The sequence below is a fragment of the Homo sapiens genome, chromosome 1 (genome assembly GCF_000001405.40).
Source record: "Homo sapiens chromosome 1, GRCh38.p14 Primary Assembly".
In the NCBI taxonomy this organism is placed as follows: Eukaryota; Metazoa; Chordata; class Mammalia; order Primates; family Hominidae; genus Homo; species Homo sapiens.
In genome coordinates, this window is record NC_000001.11 from 75,324,578 (window position 1) to 75,345,550 (window position 20,973).

At 37.6% G+C, this 20,973-nt stretch overlaps 1 protein-coding gene across 13 annotated transcripts in view; it reads right to left on the bottom strand.

The window, feature by feature from the left end:
- The window catches only part of SLC44A5 (solute carrier family 44 member 5), a 521,887-nt gene that overhangs the window by 122,449 nt on the left and 378,465 nt on the right, over nucleotides 1-20,973 (bottom strand). For all 13 annotated transcript variants that reach the window (XM_047449166.1, XM_017000608.2, NM_001130058.2 and 10 more), the window contains one exon: nucleotides 15,005-15,053. In XM_047449166.1, coding sequence (XP_047305122.1) covers nucleotides 15,005-15,053 — 49 coding nt within the window. The remainder of the gene's footprint in view (nucleotides 1-15,004; nucleotides 15,054-20,973) is intronic.

The following is a 20,973-nucleotide window of genomic DNA, read 5'->3' on the forward strand; positions in this document are numbered from 1 at the left end:
GTGCATGCGTACATCATGAGGTAGGTTCAAGAAGTGTATGTACAAACACATTTATGGGCAATTGCTCCAGTCTGAAGGCTGCAAGTTTATTGTGGCCACATCAGCCCTTCCTCAGGAATTTGTAGCATAAAATGAAGAGGATCATCTATTTTTTCTCACAAAATTTTCTAAAAAGTGCATTGTGTCAATATTTCCAGGTGACATTTGTTTTATTTTTAACCCATAATTTTTATCTGCTCCATGGTTTTAAAAATGTTTTTACTGAGAAGATAAATATCGCAAGTCAAATACCAAAGAATAACAACAACAAGGAAAAGAAATATAGACCCAATGAACAATGAAAGTTAAAGTGCTCTCACTATTTTTTAATCAAGCAAATATTTAGTGAGCATTTATTATATACCAGGTCTTGTACTAGGGGATGAGGATCTAGAAACAAAAGCTTTAAGGAACTCACAATCTACTCATGGATAAAAATACACAAACAAGTAAACAAAAAATTCTCAACACAACCAGGGTAATAAATGGAGTGTATAATGCATAAAGCACTCGAAGAGCACAGACAAGAGGGGAACTGATTCTGCCATGGAGTAACTGAGGCTGAGTTGAAGAGGGAACATGTGGACTTGACCTTCACATGTGAGTAAAAGACAGAAGAGGGCACTGAGGACACCATTTTTCAACTTGTATGAATAACAATAAAATTTTAAGAATCTGATACATTTATTTTTCTCAAGACCTTTCTTTAAACACCTATTGTTGCCCTATAGGTACTGATGGATTAATTTCCCAGAAATATTGTTAGGTTAAAAAAACACAATTATAGCATGTTATTATTTATATGAAAAAAGGGAGATTTTTATATATACATATATACAGTATACAGTAGTCTTGCCTTATCCACAGTTTCGCTTTCCAAGGTTTCAGTTACTCTGGGTCAACTGTAGTTAGAAAATTGGCAAGTACAGTATAATAAGGTATTTTGAGAGACAATGAGAGAGAGAGATTCCAGTAACTTTTTTTACAGTACATTGTTATAATTGTTGTATTTTATTATTAGTTACTGTTGTTAACCTCTTCTTGTGCTTAATTTATAAATCAAACTTCATCATAGGTATGTATGTATAGGAAAATGCATAGCATATGTTTCAAGCATCCACTGAGGGTCGTGTGCATGCATGCGTGTGTGTGTGTGTGTGTGTAGAGTATCCCTTATCCAAAATGCTTGAGACCACAAGTGTTTCAAATTTCAGATTTGGGAATATTTGCAATGTACATAATGAGATATTTTGGGGGTGCAACCGAAGTCCAAACATGAAATTCATTTATGTTTCATATACACCTTATACATATAGCCTGAAGATAATTTTATACATATTTTAAATAATAAATGTAACCATCACATGAGGTCAGGAGTACAATTTTCTACTTGTGATGTCATGTCAGTGCTCAAAAAGTTTCAGATTTTGAAGCATTTTTTATTTTAAATTTTCAGATAGTGATGTGCTCTCTCTCTCCGTGTGTGTGTGTGTGTGTGTGTGTGTGTGTATAATATTTTATATACATATAAAATATTATGTATTTCATATATATGTATATATACATAAAACCTGCCAGAGATGAAACACTGCTCAGGAAAGTATTCCATATTCTGAATTAAGACACCTTGCTTCTATTCTTACTGCTTTTTTTTTTTTTCTCATTTGGAATACTTTGTCCTTTTCCTGCAAAATACTCATCTTGCCCACCTTTCAAGGCTCAGTTCTAAAGCTTTCTCCTACATTAAATCTTATCTTTAAAATATAACTGGGCTGTCTCTTCTATGACTGAAAGTCCTATTTTGCTCTTCCAATCACAGTTTAGTAATTAACAGCTCTCCAAGGTTGTATGAGCTAGTTTTAACCCCCCAATTGTATTGCAAATGATATAGGTGGTATATAAGGTTAAGGAAGTAGACATGGTCTACTAACCTGGAGTTAGAATCAATAAACAGCACACCAACATTATAATAACCTAGTTTAGGAAAACCAAGAGTGTTTAACAAATTCATAAATTCAGCACTTATATTATGTACAAGCATTGTATTATGTACAAACATTTTGGGGAGGAAGTTGATGGCAGTGGGATAGGAAATCAAACCTCTTCCAGAAAGAGATGGAGTTTCATTTCCTCTTTTATTGAACAGTAGAAAATTAAATTATGGATAATCCATATGGAGAAGATGGCTTGTATGGTTGCAACTTTAGCTCCAAAATCTTAAAAAACAAGTGATATCAAATGCAAAACTGTAGAAGAACAGAATTTTCTCCACCTATTGTAAGGGATAAACTCGCCTATCTACAGAAAAGGAAACTATAAAATGCTAATACATATTACAATGGAGCATTTTCAGGAAGAAAACATTAAGAAATAAGGTACATGTAAATCAACTATGGTATGAACTTTTTTACTTTAAACTTTGAGTTAATGATATTTTCCTTCAGTTTTCACCATTGTTTCTAAGCTTTATTTTTTTTTTTTTACTGTCTGATAGTAAGCATCCTATGATGAATAAACAACAAATTACCAAAAACATGAGATTAGTAATGATTATGAGGAACACAACTTTGCCAACATGAAGAAATTGTTTCCTGAAGACATTCAGTAAATAAATAGAAGGAGACTTCAATCAGAAATAAACTCACAGTGTGATCTGAATTCAAAAGTCCAGAGAATGTAAACTGATGTCTATGCTGGTAAATCATGAAACACAATATCCTGAATACAGTTCAACAAGCAACTGAAATCTAAATGACAATATGATATGTGTTGGGAAGTTTAAATCTAATTTTATCATGTTTAGACTTAAAAAATATGCAGCTGTGAGGTTTGTCCTCACTTTTACAATTTGGGTTTATAAGGCTAGCAGTGAAAAGCTATTCCTTTTCTTCTAGACACTATATAGGAAATTTGGGTAAGCTCATACCAAGTAAAGAATCATGCTGGAGTGATGGCTTCGATTACCAAAATAGAGAGGCATCTCAAGTAACGCTTAGCTGACAGGTGCATACACTATTTATATCCTAATCCCTTATTTAACCAACCCAACAAAATAATCATTACAAAACTAATATGTGAGTAGAAAAAGATCTAAATTAAATACCAATACCCAGATAAAATTTAATATATTTCCCCATTAATTCTTCCTCACAGGTCTAACTAGAAAATGACCTTGGTATGGAAATCCTGCATAGTCATTACATTAAGAAAGGCATGTTAGTGCGTAAAGAGGACTCTTCCAGTCTTTGCCTTTATGCCTCCTGATAAGCTCTTTCTTTGCCCAGGTTCTCTGCACTACTATTTAGATCTGGTAACCTGGCTCCACACTGTTAGTTTCTGAAGGACTGAGAAATCCCATAATGCGATGCTGCTACTAGGATCGTCCCTAGGGTCCTAGTTCACCATCTCCAGGCTGGTTACATGGTAGGTGGTGCCACGCCCCAGGGCCCCAGTCCACAGAAACTACCAGCTGCTTTCCATCCCTGCTGGCTTCCCAACCAAGCCTACCCACTGGTCTTCTGTCCATCTGAGCACAAACTGCCTTTAATTTTTTAATAGAAAAATAATCTATTTTCCCACTCTCTTGCCAAAAGAATGTACACTTAAATATATAGATTGATTGAGAGCAAATAAAAACAAATCCATTTAGCAGCAAGACAGCCTGGGCAGAACAATATTTGAAAAATATAGCTAATATATTCTTCTGACACAGGTATGTTGGTCTGACACAGGAATACGGTAAGACAGATAATATTAGTTTCTCTAAAAAGAGGAGATATGGGTCAGTTACAAACATTTTAGTTGTAACCACAGGAAAGGTGAAGGGTCAGGTGAATTTGGGTTGAATGAAATATCAAGATACTGTTATCTAAGAATAGGAGATAGAAAAAGAAACTGGACACCATGTATGGGCTACCTCCCCTATGCCCCCAGCTGCCAATTCATTAGGCAGCTGTGTTCTATGGCAACTACGACTTCTAAGAGCTTCTGGTGCTGCAGGTTCACTCTCTGGCATTATCTCCTGAAAGCAGGGTATTAGATGATCATATGGCCCTCCTTAATTCCCTAACAAAGCTCCCTGGGAAAAAATAGTCTCAAATCCTCATCATGGCTTTCAAACCTCTCTACAATCCCACATGATCTATTCAGCTTCGTTGCCAAAGTGTCTTCCATCCTAGTCTCTGTTCAGCCCCTCTGGGGTACAATGGGATATACTATGCTCACGTGCTGTGATCCGCATGAAAAAGCTCCACCCTGGTTTCCTTTTAAGGAAAGACTGGCTGCCCAGCAGTGAGGAGTGTGGTATGCAGACAGCCTCCTGTCTCCAGACAATATCTGCCAGAGCCTCAGAGCCACTTGAAAATGGAGGGTGTGAGGAGAAAGAGGATCAAAAAACTACCTATTGGATACTATTCTTATTACCTGGGCGATGAAATAATCTGTACAGCAAACCCCTGTATCACACAGTTTATCTATATAACAACCTTCGCATGTACCCTTGAACCTAAAGGAAGAGTTAAAAATAAGTAAATAAAGATGTGGTCATTTCAGAGTTACTCTAGACTCCTCCCTGCTGGATAGCTGAGGCTTTGTTGGACCTAGCAGTTTGAAAACTTCCTCCCTCTTGCTTCCTTTCCCTTCTTTTCACAGACGCTGATCACTAGAAAAGAGCCTGCACCGCAGACTACATCTCAGCATCTGACCCCAAGAACCCAATCTGCAACACATACCTCCATGAATCCAATTCTCTTTTCCATTCTTGTGTATCTGTTAAATCATTCTCCTCCTCCAGGGTCTAACTCAATGATACCTCCAAGAAACATTTCTTGATTTTTTTTTTTTAGTCAATAATAATTATTCATTTTACTCTGTTCCCCGAGTTATGCTTATACTTCTATTTAGCAAGTCATTCATTTTTAAATGTATTAACATTAGTGGTTGAAATTTTAAGTTTATTGGGAGCATAGTCTGTGTCTTATTCAATTCTGCATACTCCACTAGAATGAAGGAATAAACTAATGCACAATCTGGAATCCTCCTTAACCTCTTTTTTCCTTTTCCATAAAAACTGAAATGAAATTCCGCCAATATTTCATCTCTGATATTTTACACATATGCCGAGGCCCCTTCACTTTTCAGCCATATGTTTTATTTAGGCTCTAGTTTTTGGTCTAGCCAAGCAAATCTACTTTGTATGGTACATGCCTACTCCTATTTTTAAGCCATTGCAAGAGATAATATCTACCTCCTTTGCCAATATGATCCTTCCTTCAAAATACTGCCGAAGATTCTCCTACTACGTGAAGCATTCCAGGGTACTGTCACCCAGCTTCAGTCACCTCAAGATCTCCTGGTTCATGTAATTTAGGTATCTAATATATGCCCACAAATCATTGTTCTTCATCACTTTTAAGTACCAATTTTTATGTTCCCTTAAGTCTTTCCTACGCTAGAATAATATTCTGTGTGGCAAATGAAATATATATATATACACACACACACACACACACACACACACACACACATGCATATACGTATATGCATATATATACGTATATATGCATATATATACGTATATGCATATATATATATTCTAGATTAATAATATATGAGGCTTCACTTCCCCATTCCCAAAATGTGTGCTGCATATTTTCTCTGCCCTCTCCAACACTCAACACTCCAGCCCTGGGCCTTCCACCACCACCACTGCCACCCCACCATCACCACTGCCACCACCCCCGTGATGGCCTTACCTCATAATTTATTGAGAAAATAAAAGCAACCAGCAAGACTACCTCTTCTTTTCATTACCAAAACTATTGACACTCCAACATCTGTAACATATTCCTTGCTTACTATCTTGCAACTATGGTTCAAAGTCCCTGCTTCCATTGTAGGCAAGACTCTCCAATTGTGTTCTGGACTCTGTCTTTAGGACTTTGTCTCCATAATTTCTTCTTTATCTTGTGTCATCAGTGGCCTTCTAGATAATGTCTAGCACCACACACCACCATGTTCTAGTGTCTCCCATCTTCAGAAAGCTCTTCTTTGGCCCCAGATTCCTCTCATCCTCCAGGAAAACTTACTGAAAGTGTTGTCTTTATTGCCTCTGGTAGCCATCTCTACTAGATTCACCTCACAATCTCTAATGAACTCTTCTTAGTCACACTTTAGTGGCCACTGCTGCTGAGCTTGCTCTTGATGAAGTCACTAATGACTCATACTGCCAAATCCAATGATCATTTCTCAATTTTTATCTTGTTTGACCTCTCAAGGTAATCAACATACTGGGCCACTTTAAAAACCACAACAGAACAAAAACCCAAACTCTTCTTGTAAAACTTTCTCTCTTTTTTTTTTTTTTTTTGGCTTCTACAACATCTGATTCTCCTGCCTTTTCTCCAACTCACTGGGTGTTCTTCCATGTCCTGTACTGATTCTTCCACCTCTGCTTGATCTCCAAATGCTTTTGAGTCTGGAGTGTTGTTCTTGGGCCTCTCCTCCATCCTCCTAAGTGTTCTCATCCAGAAGCTCAGCTTTAAGTCTTATCTGTAGGCAGACAACTCCCAATTCTTGATCACCAGCCCTCATTTTATTCTTCACTGAGCTCCAGACTCACGCATGGCATTCACAGGCTGATATCTATTTAGTATCTCAAATTTAACACAGGCAAAACAGAAGTCTTAACCTCTCTAATCTTTTCATCTGTACTATAGGGGAGCATCATCCTCCTGGTAGTTCAAGTCACAAATCTAACAATTACTCTTGACTCATTTTTTCTCTTGCTTTTCACATCCAATCCCATCAGTAAGTGCTGCTCCCTCTACCACCAAAGCATATCTTGAGTCTATACAAGTCTCTCTATTTCCACTATCACTACCCTCTTCGAAGTGACTGACTCCTTCACTTATACAACTGCAAAAGCTTCCTGTGAATCTCCTTGCTTCTGATTTTGGACACTTAAATTCTCCACAGAGCAGTCAGGATGAGTTTTAAAAACAGATTAGCTCACTCTGTTACTAAAACCCTCACATGACTTTTCCACTGCACTCACTGTAAACATGCTTAGCTTGCAGAGCATCTCCTACCCACCCACTACCTAAGTCCCGCTCCCATCCACCTTGCTGCACTCACACGGGCCTCTCTGCTCCCTGCACTAAGTGTATTCCTGCCTTAGGGACTCTTCATTTTGCCTCCTCTATCTAACATGTTATATCCTCAGACTCTGCCTGACTTACTCCTCTTATCATTCAAGTCTCATTTCAATTGTCACCTCCATAAAGAGATCTTCCTTCATCACCAAATCTAAATTAACACTTCCCCTCCCCTACAAAGGCCCTGTTACATCACTCTGTTTTACTCTCTTCCTCTTACTTATGTTCATTTCTCAGATGTTTTCTGCCCTATTTCTTCCCTCTTCCAAGAAGACAGCCACCTTATCTATATTGCTCATCACAGTATCTCTAGTGCCTAGAAGACATGGGGCATGTAATAGATGCCCATGAATGCACATAAAAGATGCTCTATGAAAAATGCCTCTTGTAATTTAAAACTAAGAAAAATCCTTATATACTGAATAATTGGTATATTTTCTTCCAGTAAAAAGAACTGTATAATCCACTATGTTTTTCTTTTTATATTGACATGTAGGAAGCCCACTGATAAATTTAATTTCAATATCAGCTACTGTATTAGTCTTGAGTCAAAAATTTCTTTAGGGACTTTGAATTTCTATTTTCATTTTAATAATTCTAATGCATCCAGATGTTTTAAGTCATTTCACTTAAGATCCTTTCTAGAAAGAGGCATATAGGTATATAAGTAAATAGAAATGAAAGCTTGAATGTTCTATAGTTGTCCTTTTTTTCTTTATACACAAAAGAGTATACTAAACAAATTGGTAGGTGTCACAATACTGAAAATAACTATTATTATAGAAGGTGGAAAATCTGTCTGAAATTTAGTAAAATCATTTAGTTTACCTGAAGCATTGGAGGGGTGGTAAGTTCACTATCATGAAAAGATTCAAGGAAAGAATGAAGAGCCACTTATTAGGGATGTTGAAGAAGGGGTTCATTCATATAAAGAAGTTGGATTAAGTGACCTCAAAGTCCTTTCCAATCCTGAGATTCACTGACTCTGTGATTCAACTCTTGATGCCAAATCACAAAATAAAAAGTTCAGCTTTAGACCTTAGTGATAGCATATAATGCACTATGTGGACACACACCACACATTCTTATAAATTCTAAAGTGTTGTTATCAAGTAGACATCTCAAATCATTGTGACAACACTGTGCTGTCTTCTAAATGTATGCCGTTCTCATATTTGCTTCTTGTTGAATTAATTGGTATGCTTTTTCTAATTGTATAGGAGACTTAAATATACGAAGGTGGGGCTCATTATCATAGAAAATTATGATTGAAAACCTATAGAAAAAAAGAACACAAAATTTAAAAAAAAAGTAGGTCCTGTGTTGTAAAAATGTCTGCAAGAGGTTACAAACCATTTTGATTTGTAAAATAGTTTGGAATAAAAAACCTATGTCCATAGCACTTCCTTTGAAAACTTTTTTATAAAGTCTCAAATGTAGAAGGAAATGAAGAGAAATAAAAGTAAATAATTGCCCCAAATGGCTAATTCTTCAGAATGCAAATGTGAATTGAAGATGTGCTCTAAATCTGGCATTTACATTCTTCATTCGGAATGGAGCAAATGGCCTAATGTGATTAATTATTTATTAGCGTGACTCTTTTCCACAGAAAGATATAGGTTAACACTCATCTTTAATATTTGTGGCCTCTTTTATTCCTCAATATATGAGCTTGTTCTTTTTTCTATTTTTTTTTTTTTTGCACTTTAAAATGTCACCGTCTACAAGTTATTCCTGATAATTACGCAAATAACCTAAAAACTCTGTAGGCACCTTTAAATCAAGAGATTTTTTAAAAAGTATTAATTAACTATGCTTTCTATGTGCCAGGCACTGTGCTATGTGCTAGAAACACAAAGACAAACTAAAGAAAGTTTCTCCCCAACAAAGTTTGAAGTTCAGTAGGAGAGGCAGATAATAAAGAGATTAATGTGATCAGTGAAATTAATAGTTATTGATGAGGGCTCTGGAAAAAGGAGAGTGTGTCTAGTACTGATAGGAGTAAGAAGAATGTAGAAAAAATTCAAAGCAGAGGTGACCCTTGCACTCATACTTGAAGACATTCCAAGAAGAGCCAATAGTACACATCAAAGTATGAGAGCCTGAGAACACTTATCCTTTCATTGTAGTCACACTTGAGTTCTTTCCATTCCTCAAACATTCTAAACTTGTGTCCATCTCAGGGACTTTGCATTTGTTATCTTCTGCCTGAATGCTTTGACCCTAGATCTTTGCATGGCTGGCTCCCTCTTGTCATCCAACTCTTACCTGCCATCTGCCCAAGAGCCCTTAACAACAGCCCAGTTCCCCATTCACTCTCAACCATATCATTTGATTGTATTTATGTTACAGTATTTATCACTATTGAAAGTAGCTTTATTCATTTCTTTGCTTTATATAATTGATGTCCTATCTAGAATCTCAGGTCTATGAGAAGCCAGAAGCTTGTCTGTTTTGTTCATCAGTGTGTCTTCTGAGCTGAGAAAAGTCTCTGGTATATAATGCATATTTGCTGAATGCATAAATAAACTATCATCTTGGCCTCAAAATTAAGGATGGACTCAATCCTGAAAAAGACAGAATTCTGGCAGGACAGAGTTGGTTAGAAGGAAAGCAAGACAGCATTTAAAAGACGATTTCAGTAACTCAGCTAAGAGATTATTAAAGCCTCAACTCAGGCAGTTGTCCTGGGAAAGCAGAGTTCTAAGAGGTAAAAAGAAGACAAAATCTGCAAGGTTTTAGGACTATTATATATTCAGGGTAGAAGCAAGAATCTAGCACTATTGTGTTTAACAACTAGTTTGATTGTAGTTACATTCACCAAGGGAGGAAACACCATGAGAAGGAGCAAGAAGGGTATAAAGGGCAAAGGAGCTCATGAGTTTAGGCTCTAAAATGTTGAGTTTAGGATGCCCATGGCACATCCAGGTAGAACTATCAAGTAGAAAGTCAGAAATATAAATATATTTCTGAGGCTTTTTGAAATACTGATATATTTCTTTTAACTAAAACACCTATATAAAGGGGACATTTTGAAAGAACATTAAAGTCTAGTGGAAAATTCTCTCTTCTGAAAAATATCCTCTGATCACCCCTGGAGTGAATTGCAGGCACTCTTCCTTGGTGCTCCAAGAGTAGTCTGTGCACTTATAATACCACGTTGTAGTTAGTTGCTTGCTTGGCTGACTCTTCAGTTAAGCCATGAGCTCCACTACATACAGCTGTACATTGCAGACCTGTGAGTAACAGTTTTGATCATGTCACACCAGTCCACCGGTACTAATTTCTCCAATGAGTTCCCACTGCCTAAGAATCAGCTCCAAATGCTTTAGCATGGTATTCAAAGCCCTACATAATTTTGTCCTAACATATCTGCCTAAACAATCTCACTCTGCGTTCTCTAAATGCTTGAATAAACTCTCTGCTGAGCCAAACCAGTTATGTACATTTCTGCAGGGTCTGAATATTGATTCTGTCATGCCCTAGAATTACTCCAACTCAGGGATGATGACTGGCACTGACAAAGCTCACAAGAGACTGATGTCTAAAATCAGAATGCCAATGAAATAATTTACATTGAGAAATTTAACTGCTGAGCCGAACTGATGTTCATGTTGCCCTGACCAGTTCATTCCTCCCTGTAGGCAAACTACATGAAAAACCTAATTATCAAAAGGTTGCTTGATGAGTGTGGAGTCAGAACAAGGGGAATTGCATGAATAGAATATCTGATGGCATCCATCTCTGCTAGCCTGTGGTCAAGAGAGCAGGATCCTTACATAGGATCCTCTCATCAATTTGACTTGGTGCCCTAATCTGGAGAGTTCTTGGATGGACAGAGTTGTTTGATCATCATTTGTACTTCTCTTTAGATATGTTAATAGATTGAATAAATGTATCATCAAGCCTTGCTGGACTAGAAGCCTTACAGGTCTCATTATGGTGACTATCTACATCTGTGCTTTAATTATGTGTTAATTTCTAGTTTAACTCTTAGAAAACAGTGCTATTTTCCAAATTCCTAAGTTTGGAAAAGTGCCTCCCATAAATTAGTAGTCTTCTTTGCTCTGTGGCCCTGCCCAGGAATCAGCACCTCTGACACCAGCCTCAGAGTGCCCGTCCTTCCCTGAAATCCTGCAGCAGCCTTTGCTGTGGACCACACATTTGGTGCACAGCCCATGTTACTTGTGCTTGCTCTTTAGCTTTTCATATGCTTGTGGGGTCTTGTCATCTGGTGTGTAATTTCCCTTGGAGGACAGAGGTGTGCATTCAATATTTGTGTGAGTAATTAATGATGAGGTCTAGATTTTCATTTTTTTCTTAGTATACCACTGGTTATAGCACCTATTCCTTGGACAGCGTTCTGTTTGTAAAATGTATGGTTATTATTATTATTATTTTTTGAGACAGAGTCTTTCTCTGTCACCCAGGCTGGAGTGCAGTGGCATGATCTCAACTCACTGCAACCTCTGCCTCCTGGGTTCAAGCGATTCTCCTGCCTCAGCCTCCTGAATGTGAGATTAAAGGCACGCACCACCACACCCGGCTACTTTTGATATTTTTAGTGGAGACGGGGTTTCACCATGTTGGCCAGGCTGGTTTCCAACTTCTGGCCTCAACTGATCTGCCGGCCTCAGCCTCCCAAAGTTCTGGGATTACAGGCATGATCCACCGTGCCCGGCCAGAATATGATTATTTCTTTCACAGCTATGCTTGACAATGTCAGCATTATTTAAAATTGCATCCTTTTTTCAGGATAGTTTACGTATTTAAAACAAAAGGAAACAAACTCCATCTCTAAAACCCGAGATGATAATATGTGGCCTTTATTACAGGATGCCAACTGTAGCAATTTGGACTTTATTTTCCTAGACTTGGATCACAGGTCAAGCAAATGGTCATACAACATTTTAATGACTTTGACCTAATATAAAAAGAGAGAGATAAACAGAATAGGCTGAACTTTTTGTATGAGGACCTGTAAATCTTTGACCTCCCTTGACACAGCATACTTGGATCCACACCATATGCAGTGTCATGCCCCCTGTAGACATGTTATAAAAACTAATTGACTTGAAAAATAGTATGAGGTGTATTCCATGAGACCTAGTAATGCAAATAGCGCAGAGAACTCTGCTACTACTTTCCTGTTAGCAGAGTATCTTATTTAGGAATATAAACCCAATATCACACCATTGGCATCTGAAAATGGTTGAGGGTTCAGATAGCATCTTAGCAAGAACTTTAAATATAGACTTAGAAGTCCTGAAGTTTAAACCCATAAGTGAAGCTTCACTTACATATGCTGACTGTTTTGTCTCAAGTGTAATAATGCTATGGCCGTTACTCAGCCCCTTTTGAAGTTCATCCTTGTATTTATCCCTGGATTCTATGTCACACTGCTTCCTTCCCATTCTTGTTTTCTTTCCTTCACTCCTTAAATAAATGTGTATAGTACCCCTTACTCTATCAGAAGAATTATGCTAGTTGGTAATAATACAAAGATGAGATGTTCTCTTCCTCAAAAATAAGTGGGCTTATCAGTAGGCTTCCTACAAGGCAGTACAGGAAGAGAAACAGTGGATTACATGGTTCTTACCTAACAGAAGAAAGCATACCAATTCTCCATCAAATAAAATTTAGTTAGGTCTACATTATGAGATGAATTTCTCATGTAGCATCTTATCGGAGAGCTTTCATTTCTTAGTTTTCTATGTGTATTCAATTCCAATGTCTAATGCCAAGGATAATGCTGAATATCTTTTTCACTAATCAATCATTTTTTGATTCTGTTGAATATCAGGGAGAAATCTTGGGGCCTGAAGATCTATTTTGTGAAAAGGGCCTGGGGAAACACCTTAAACTATCAAAATCATCTTCTCTTGGTTATTGGACAATAGCTCTCATACACCCAGTTCTTGGTAGATGGGAACAAATGAGACACTGAGTTCACCTCTCCTATGCATGACCATCATCCCTTCGCCTTTTCTCAAAACAAATTCAGTTGGGTGGTGACTAGGCACAAAATGCTGCCCTTGTGAACTGAGAGAAGAAAGCAGAACATAGTGGACTGACAAGCAGAGAATGCTGTAAGAGTCTGTCTGAATATCCAATAACATTTGGGATTTTTCAGGAGAGCTTCATGATGTAAGCACAAGGTGTTATTAAAGCCAGTCCTGCTGCTAAAGGCAATGTGGAGAATTGGGGGCTTCTTATTTGCTCCTTAAACACCCCAGTTATTTTCCCGGTAAGGACAGTATAGAACCCTGCTGTCTGAAAAAGTTACAAATAGGCCAACTATGTCTTCCTGTATTTATGCCTCCCTGGTTTTACAATGCTTTCCTCCATTCTTGGATTGAAGGCAGAGGAAGGTCTGCCCACAGAATGACCAGCTCACCTTTGAAGGTCTTTGTGGTGCCGGAGGCATCACAAAAGGCCCCAGGTAAAAATAAATTACTTTCCTCACAGTGATTATCACAGTCGTTTAGACTTTACCTGAACTACACGGTTCCGTCATTAAATTCTACATAATGGAAGACAGGAGATCTCACCTCTTTTACTACACCTAAAACCAGCCAGGCATAATTCTGCTCTCTTATCTATGGCCTAGAAAGACACACCTGTAATCTGTATTTCCTCTTTCTAAATGTGTCAGCCTATTTATTATAATTATTATTACTGTTGAATCTGATTTATACCTAAAGTTCCCTTGAAGCCAACAGGCTACATTCAATGCTTACAAATAAGTTATTGTAAAATGGATGTAATCATAGTAAAAGTAGCCACTACACTGAATGAGGCTGTTTGTATACTAGACAACAAAATGTATTCATGGTGTTACCATGGAGAGAATGGAGAGGTTTTGGACTCATTTTAAAGAAGGTGCCTTTATTCTAAGTATACCTTTAAATGAGTAACCTGAAACAAATGACTTGTTTTTTTACAAAATTAGAACAAACTGAATATACGTCTCTTTAAAGCTGGGCTATTACAGGGACATAACAGTAAATGCTAACGTACATACTGATGGTTGGCACGTGCAAATGAGCATGCTGATCGCTAGTTCACATCACGGTTCATTATGACATACAACTGACAGAAATCAAAGTTAAGCAAAAAACAGCCACCAACTGCACAGTCTTCCCTCCATATGTAGACATTTTACCTCACAATCCCCTTTGTTATTAGCAAAAAGCTTGCAAATAGAGGCTAAAATAAATAATAAGAGGACTATGAATTACTGGCTAATTTTAAAATGGCACAGAACCTTGGAGAGGGCAGGAAGCACCAGCTGAGATGAGTACATATTTCCCTAGAGCATTTTAAACTATCTTAAAGTGCACACGATGCATTGGTGAATGACTGCCTCTGAGAAAGCACTCTGATCTTGGAAGCTGAGCAGCACAAATACTTGGCTTGGAAGAAGTTGGCATGGCAACTCTGCATTTGCAATGGTGAGTCCCAGAGTAAACAGGTGCATAAAACAACTACTTGAATGAGTTTGCTTCTCTACAAAGTGGTTAAATCTCATAAAGCATTTTTTTTCACTTCTCTTTTTGAAAAGTACAAACACTTAGTTTAATAATGTAAGGCAGTTCATTTGCTAATGGGAGAAGATATTCATGACTCATGGAAAGATTTATTCTCTGTACTTTCCCTGTGTAAATAAGGTGACATTTAGGCAGAAATATATCATTTTCCCCTCACAGTAGACACAATTCTCCACTGACTGGAAAACAGTACCTCCCCCATCCCCCAAAGCTTTCTGTGTATGTTTAAAAAAGCATATTCCCCAAAAAATAATTGCTTACCTGTTGGCAACAGGCCCCTTGAAATCTGGGTCATATGTCCTTGGATCACCTGCATTTAAAACAAAGACATTTTAAGCATATAAGCCAGCAAATAAATTAATATAAAATATTAATGAAGAAATATCTACATATTGGTTAGTCCACTGCTCAGTGCAGTGATGAATTCATACTTTGGTTTGATGAAACATAAGTATGTCTTGGTTACAGTTGTCAATTCTTTCTCCTATCTCCAGCTTAGAAGGAGGACTGGGAAGAGTGGTTAAGGAACATATTCCATATACCCAGTGAATGTATCCTCCCACCATACTGAGTACCAACATTAAAGATTGTATCCAGGGTAGCAAAACTTGAAGACTTTATGGTCTGCAAAACAATTTTACCATCTTCCATCACCAAGTGTTGCTGAGGACTTGTGAGGTGCACATTTCAATATGAGATGCCTCCTTATCCCAGCTCTCCCATTCCTCTCAGTAGATTAGAGTTTCCTTCGAGAAGTTCAAATACTAGGTACTGTTGGTCTCTATCATGTTGGCTGTATGGTACATAAAAATTAATGTTCTATTATAAAAACATTTTTATTGCAGTTTTTTCAATCTACTGGCAGACTTCATGCCATCTGGGAAGGTGCCCTTGTCACTTTACTGCATTATGATTGTGATATATTACCCTTTTCTTTAAACAGTGAAAGTACATATGGAATGGCTTTTTTCTCCCTACATGTACTGTGTGGGCAGACCCAGTAACAAATTATGTAAAGTCATTGCTGGCCAAGGGTGTGCATTTTGCAATCCCCGACTTCTTGACTCTTCCCCTACAACCTAAGCACTCCCACCTGTTCCTCTAGGGATTTGTCCCTATAAAAAGGTCTGGTCCTGAATAAAAGATAAAATTTTCCTGTTTGAGACAGTTGATTTGTACTTCAGTGCCAAGTTCTCTAGCACACTGTCTGCTTCTCTTTTTTGGACAGCTTATCTGAATCTGCCTCACTGCAACAGATAATATTAAAAGTGTTTAAGTCTACTTTATCTGAGAACTGACCATCCCTCTGTCCCCCAATCCACAGGAGTAGGTCTTTAGTAGTGACATTTCTTCTTTGTGCCTGTTTTCTGGCCATGGCCAACTGGATCTGGTTCAGATATTGGATCCAAGCTGGGCCAGTCAGATTCTCAATCCCAGGAATTTAGAATTAGAATGGACAACGAGTTATTCTCAGTAGAAGACTGGAACTGCAAAATATAAACCTCGCAAACAAGAGAAGCAGAGAAATCTGGCTTTCAGAAAGAAGTTATTGAAGTAAATGTTCAAAGAGAAACAGAGACAATGGTCCTAATGGCATTTATCTTGTGGTCTAGTTCCTACCTGAAGCCCAGCGTTGAGTTTCATGAGATACCTTATAGTCTTAAACTGCATTCCCTTTTCTCACTTTTAACTAGTTCAAATTGGTTATATGTAACAAAAGAGCCAAAGAGTCCTATTAATAATTCGTTCTCTCTTGGCTTACATTTTAACTATTTATTTTAACAACATTTTTTGGATCCTTGCCATGAACACTGGTGTGAGGATATGAAGAGGAATTTTTCAGACTAAGTCTGCCTTTATGAATCTCATACTTGAATAAGAAATATAAGCTCGAGAGGGCCGGACATGGGTGGCTCACACCTATAATCCTAGCACTTTGAAAAGCCAAGGCTGGTGGACTGCTTGAGGCCAGGAGTTCCAGAGCAGCCTGGGTAACCTGGCAAAACCTCAGATTAGCTGGGCGTGATGGTGCACACCTGTAGTCCTAGCTATTCCAAAGGCTGAGGCATGAGAATCCCTTGAACCCAGGAGGCGGACGTTGCAGTGAGCTGAGATTGTGGCACTGTACTCCAGCTTGGGCGAGAGAGCAAGACAGATGAGAGAAAGAAAAGAAAGAGAAAGGAAGGAAAGGAAGAGAAAAGAAAGAAAAAGAAAGAAGGAACGAGAGAGAAGAAGGAAGGAAGGAAGGAAAAAAGGAAGGAAAGAAAACATAAGCTGGAAACATCATTTCAACACTGTGTGGTAAGAGCTGTGATAGAGAATGCTGTGGGGCACAGGGCGGGTCACGAATGAACAGGCTTCACAGGCTCCTAACACTCAGCTCTGGCTTCATTTTCTGCTCATGCTCTGACCCTGTGCTCTTTGACTTGAATCTTTCACTCTGATGTTGAACAGTAATATTTGCATCATTCCTGGTTCTAGATTTCAGTTCCCTAATCTGTCTGAATAGCTGAAATAGCTCAAAAACTTTTAGGGGTACAAGATTCCAACAATCCCCCATATCAAATATTCTAATTCCATAGATCTGAGGAATGGGCCTGAGAATCTGTATTTTTAGATGACCCACTAACTGACTCTGATGCACAGACAGATTTGGGAACCATTAATCTATTTGATTTTAGTCTCAATTTAATAAGTACATCCCAGTTTACACACTGTCATTATGTCTAGTTCTACTTAACAGACCAACCTAATGGAGAAAATGAGGAGAAAAGCAGGTCATCATGATGTGTATGAGTTTTGGGAGACACTACCATTAGATGTGAGGAGCCAGTGAAAGAGTTTTAGGAAGAGACACAGACATTCAAGAAAGTCAAATAATTTCAAGAAAAAGGAAAGATCATAAACTCTATAAAATTTATTCTTATTTGTACCAGGGACTACCGTAAGTTCTTTACATGTAGGTCTGCCATCTTGCACAATTCCACATAGAACGCAATGTGAATTGTACTTCTCTGAGCACTGCAATGCAATAGCCCTAGTGTATTTATTATGTCATTTAATGTTTCTAAAAATTCATGCCATTTCAATGTAATAAAATATGCCATTATTATTATTCTATTTTACAAATGAGGAAGTTGGGGTACAGAAAGGTGAGATAATTTTCCCTAGCTCACTCAGCTAACAAGAGGCGGAGGTGGCATTGGAAGGCAGACTGTCCAACTCCAAACAAAGCCTGTGTTGAACCATTTAGCAGTAAGTTACTCACTGGTCATTTTAAAGTAATCCCACAGATGAGTAAGGAGAAGACAGGTTTAAAGGGGTTAACAACTTCTATTGATTTTGTAATTATTTGCTGTTTACATTAAAGGTAGGCAAAACCAGCTTAAAAGTATTTAGGCTGGCTTCCAATCTTCCTGTGATTTGTACCTCACCAAGTGAGAAAGTGGATTGCAGTGTAAATGAAATGCCATTGTCGAATCTGCCTGAAAAGCTGACATTTTCTGATTGTAAATACTGGCTGCTTTATTTTTCAGTTGAAAATACACCAAAACCAGTCAGATGATAAGATTGAGCTGATTCTGTATAGTAATGACAGCTGGAAAGTGATTACTTCACCCTGCCCCCATGTGCTGTCAGAATTTGTATTGTCATGCAAATTTTTTATATCCTGCAAATCAATAGAGGGCAGTGCTTTTATAGGGGCCCTCACGTACTCTAATTGCGTCTCTGGAATAAATAGACTGAAGGGCCAGCTAAATGAAAAAAGCCACAGTGGTTCGCTGTCATGTGGCTTAGCTCCTTGAATGCAATTCATATTTCTCACTTAAAGACAAAAAACCCTAAAATTATATAATATTTTATAAGCTTCTTAAGTCATTTGACTTTCTGATCACCAAGTTTATTGTCTTGCAACAGTAAATTTAGAATCATTGAAAAACATTTATAAAAGACAGCTACACATTTGTTGTGGTGGTTAACAGTTGGTATTGCAGCCATACAATGCAATTTCCAAACCAGAAATAATTCATGAAGATTAAGGAAAATAGTTCAGGTAACTAATTCAATTCATAGGGGCAGATTTCACATGGCTCCATTGAAAGCAAATGGCAAGATAAAGCAGCCAGTGATGCTTAGAAAGACTCTTTTCTTTAAAAGTAATCTGTTTCTCAAAGAAAATGACAATATAACTACCATTGATAAGCTATAAAAAGTAAAAATCCAAAACATTTGATTTTATTCCTGCAGGAATATTCTCCTTCTGAGAACCTAATATTAATTCAGAGAGCAAAAAAGGAACTCAGGTGGGATGAATACATGTTCTAGAACTTAAAAGAGACCTACTGTGAGTAAGCAGGTCAGATTACTTTCCAGTGAACATGGAAAAATGGAGCAGTACAAAATTAAGACTTTAATATACAACAATAGCCAGCAGAGAAATGTGAATACTTAAGTACGTGTTTTGTTTTATTTTTAAAACATGCTTTATAGTATGTCTATAAAAGAGGGCCTGTCATTTCATTCAAAGAAAGGGTTCTGTTTTCCTCTAAGTCCCACCAAATAATAAGGAATCATGTTCTTAGCCATTTCTTACAGGATGATGTTCCCACTTCTTAGCCCAACACACATGGCTTTTTACGATATGGCTCATCTCACCAGTCTTATTTCTTATAATGCCCCTCTTTTAACTTGATCTTATGCAATTCTGTACTATGTATGGTTCCCCCCTTTTCATATTCATATTCTGTTCCCTCTGAGCAATGTGACTTTCTCCTCCTTATTCCCTTGGTGATGGCTAAAGGAGGCCTACACTTCCCCTCACAAACTTCCTACTGATTCTCAAGAAGGACAAGAACAAAGACATTCTACTGGCCACTGTGCCAAAGTGGGCCAAAGTGAATTCCACCCACTTTGACAGGAGAAGAATCCTGAGAACTTTCAAAGAATTCCATTCCAAAGCAGCTAATTCCATTAATCTCTGAGACACAGTACTTCCATTTGCATTGTTGAGCTTAGGACACTATAATACAGGTTATCTGTTTTCATGTTGTGGTAGACAGAATAATGGCCTCCCAAAGATGTTCACATCCTAATCCCTGGACCCTGTAAATGTTACCTAATATAAGGAAAGGGATTTTGCAGATGTGAATAAATTAAGGACCATGAAATGGTGAGATTAGCCTGGTTTATCTGGGTGAGCCCAATGTGATCACAAGGGTACTTCTATAGGGAAAAGGGAGGCAGATGAGTCAAAGAAGGAAATGTGACAACAGAAACAAGGTTGGAAAGATGCAATGTTAGAAAAACTCAACTGGCTATTTCTGGCTTTAAAGATGTAAGAGAGTCATTAGCCAAGGAATACAGAAGCTTCTAGAACCTGGAAAAAGTAAGAAAATGGATCTCCCCTGGACATCCTGCTAATCCCTTGATTTTAGCTCATTGAGATGTATTTTGGACTTCTAACATCTAGAATCGTAAGATAATAAATTTGTGTTTTTCTAAGCCACACTTAGAATTGTGTGGTAATTCATTACCACAGCAATAGGAAGCTAATACACATGGCTATTTATCCTACTGGATTACTACATAGTTTCTCTAGGGCAGAAATGAGATCTTGGTTATTTCTCTGTTCCTGTTACCTACATTAGTGCCTGTTGTACACATAGCAGGCATTCAGTAAATATTTACAAGATAAGTTTTAAAAGAATGTCAATGTAATTTTGATATCTTATATATTTAATTTAGATTATGAAAATACAACTAAAGGATCAATCTTGGCAGTCACCAGCAAATCACTTTAGATAAATTTCAACTTAGATTAAAGGAAGTTAATAGACTCCTAGAAGTGCACCGATGTGAAAAATTACTCCCCTTATCACCAACACTAATTCAGTATCTGATTGTAATGTCAAGGCAAGTAGAAGCTGACAAAGGAAGTAAGGGAGAAAGTATCCCATATTGGTGAATAAAAACTGGGTATCAAATTAACTGGTATAAAATGTTATTTCTACCATCTATAAGCAGTATGATCTTGGGAGAATTACTTTTTGCCCCTCTAACCTTCCATTTTTTCATCCATAAAATGATAGATAATGGAGGGAAAAAAAGTTGGGAAACAATTTCTACCTTCAGAGGGGACCAACTAATATGGGAAACAGTAAAATGTAAATTACCCACATAACTAAAGCGATCAGTGTAGAATCAGTACAAACCAACTTGTTGAATTGACA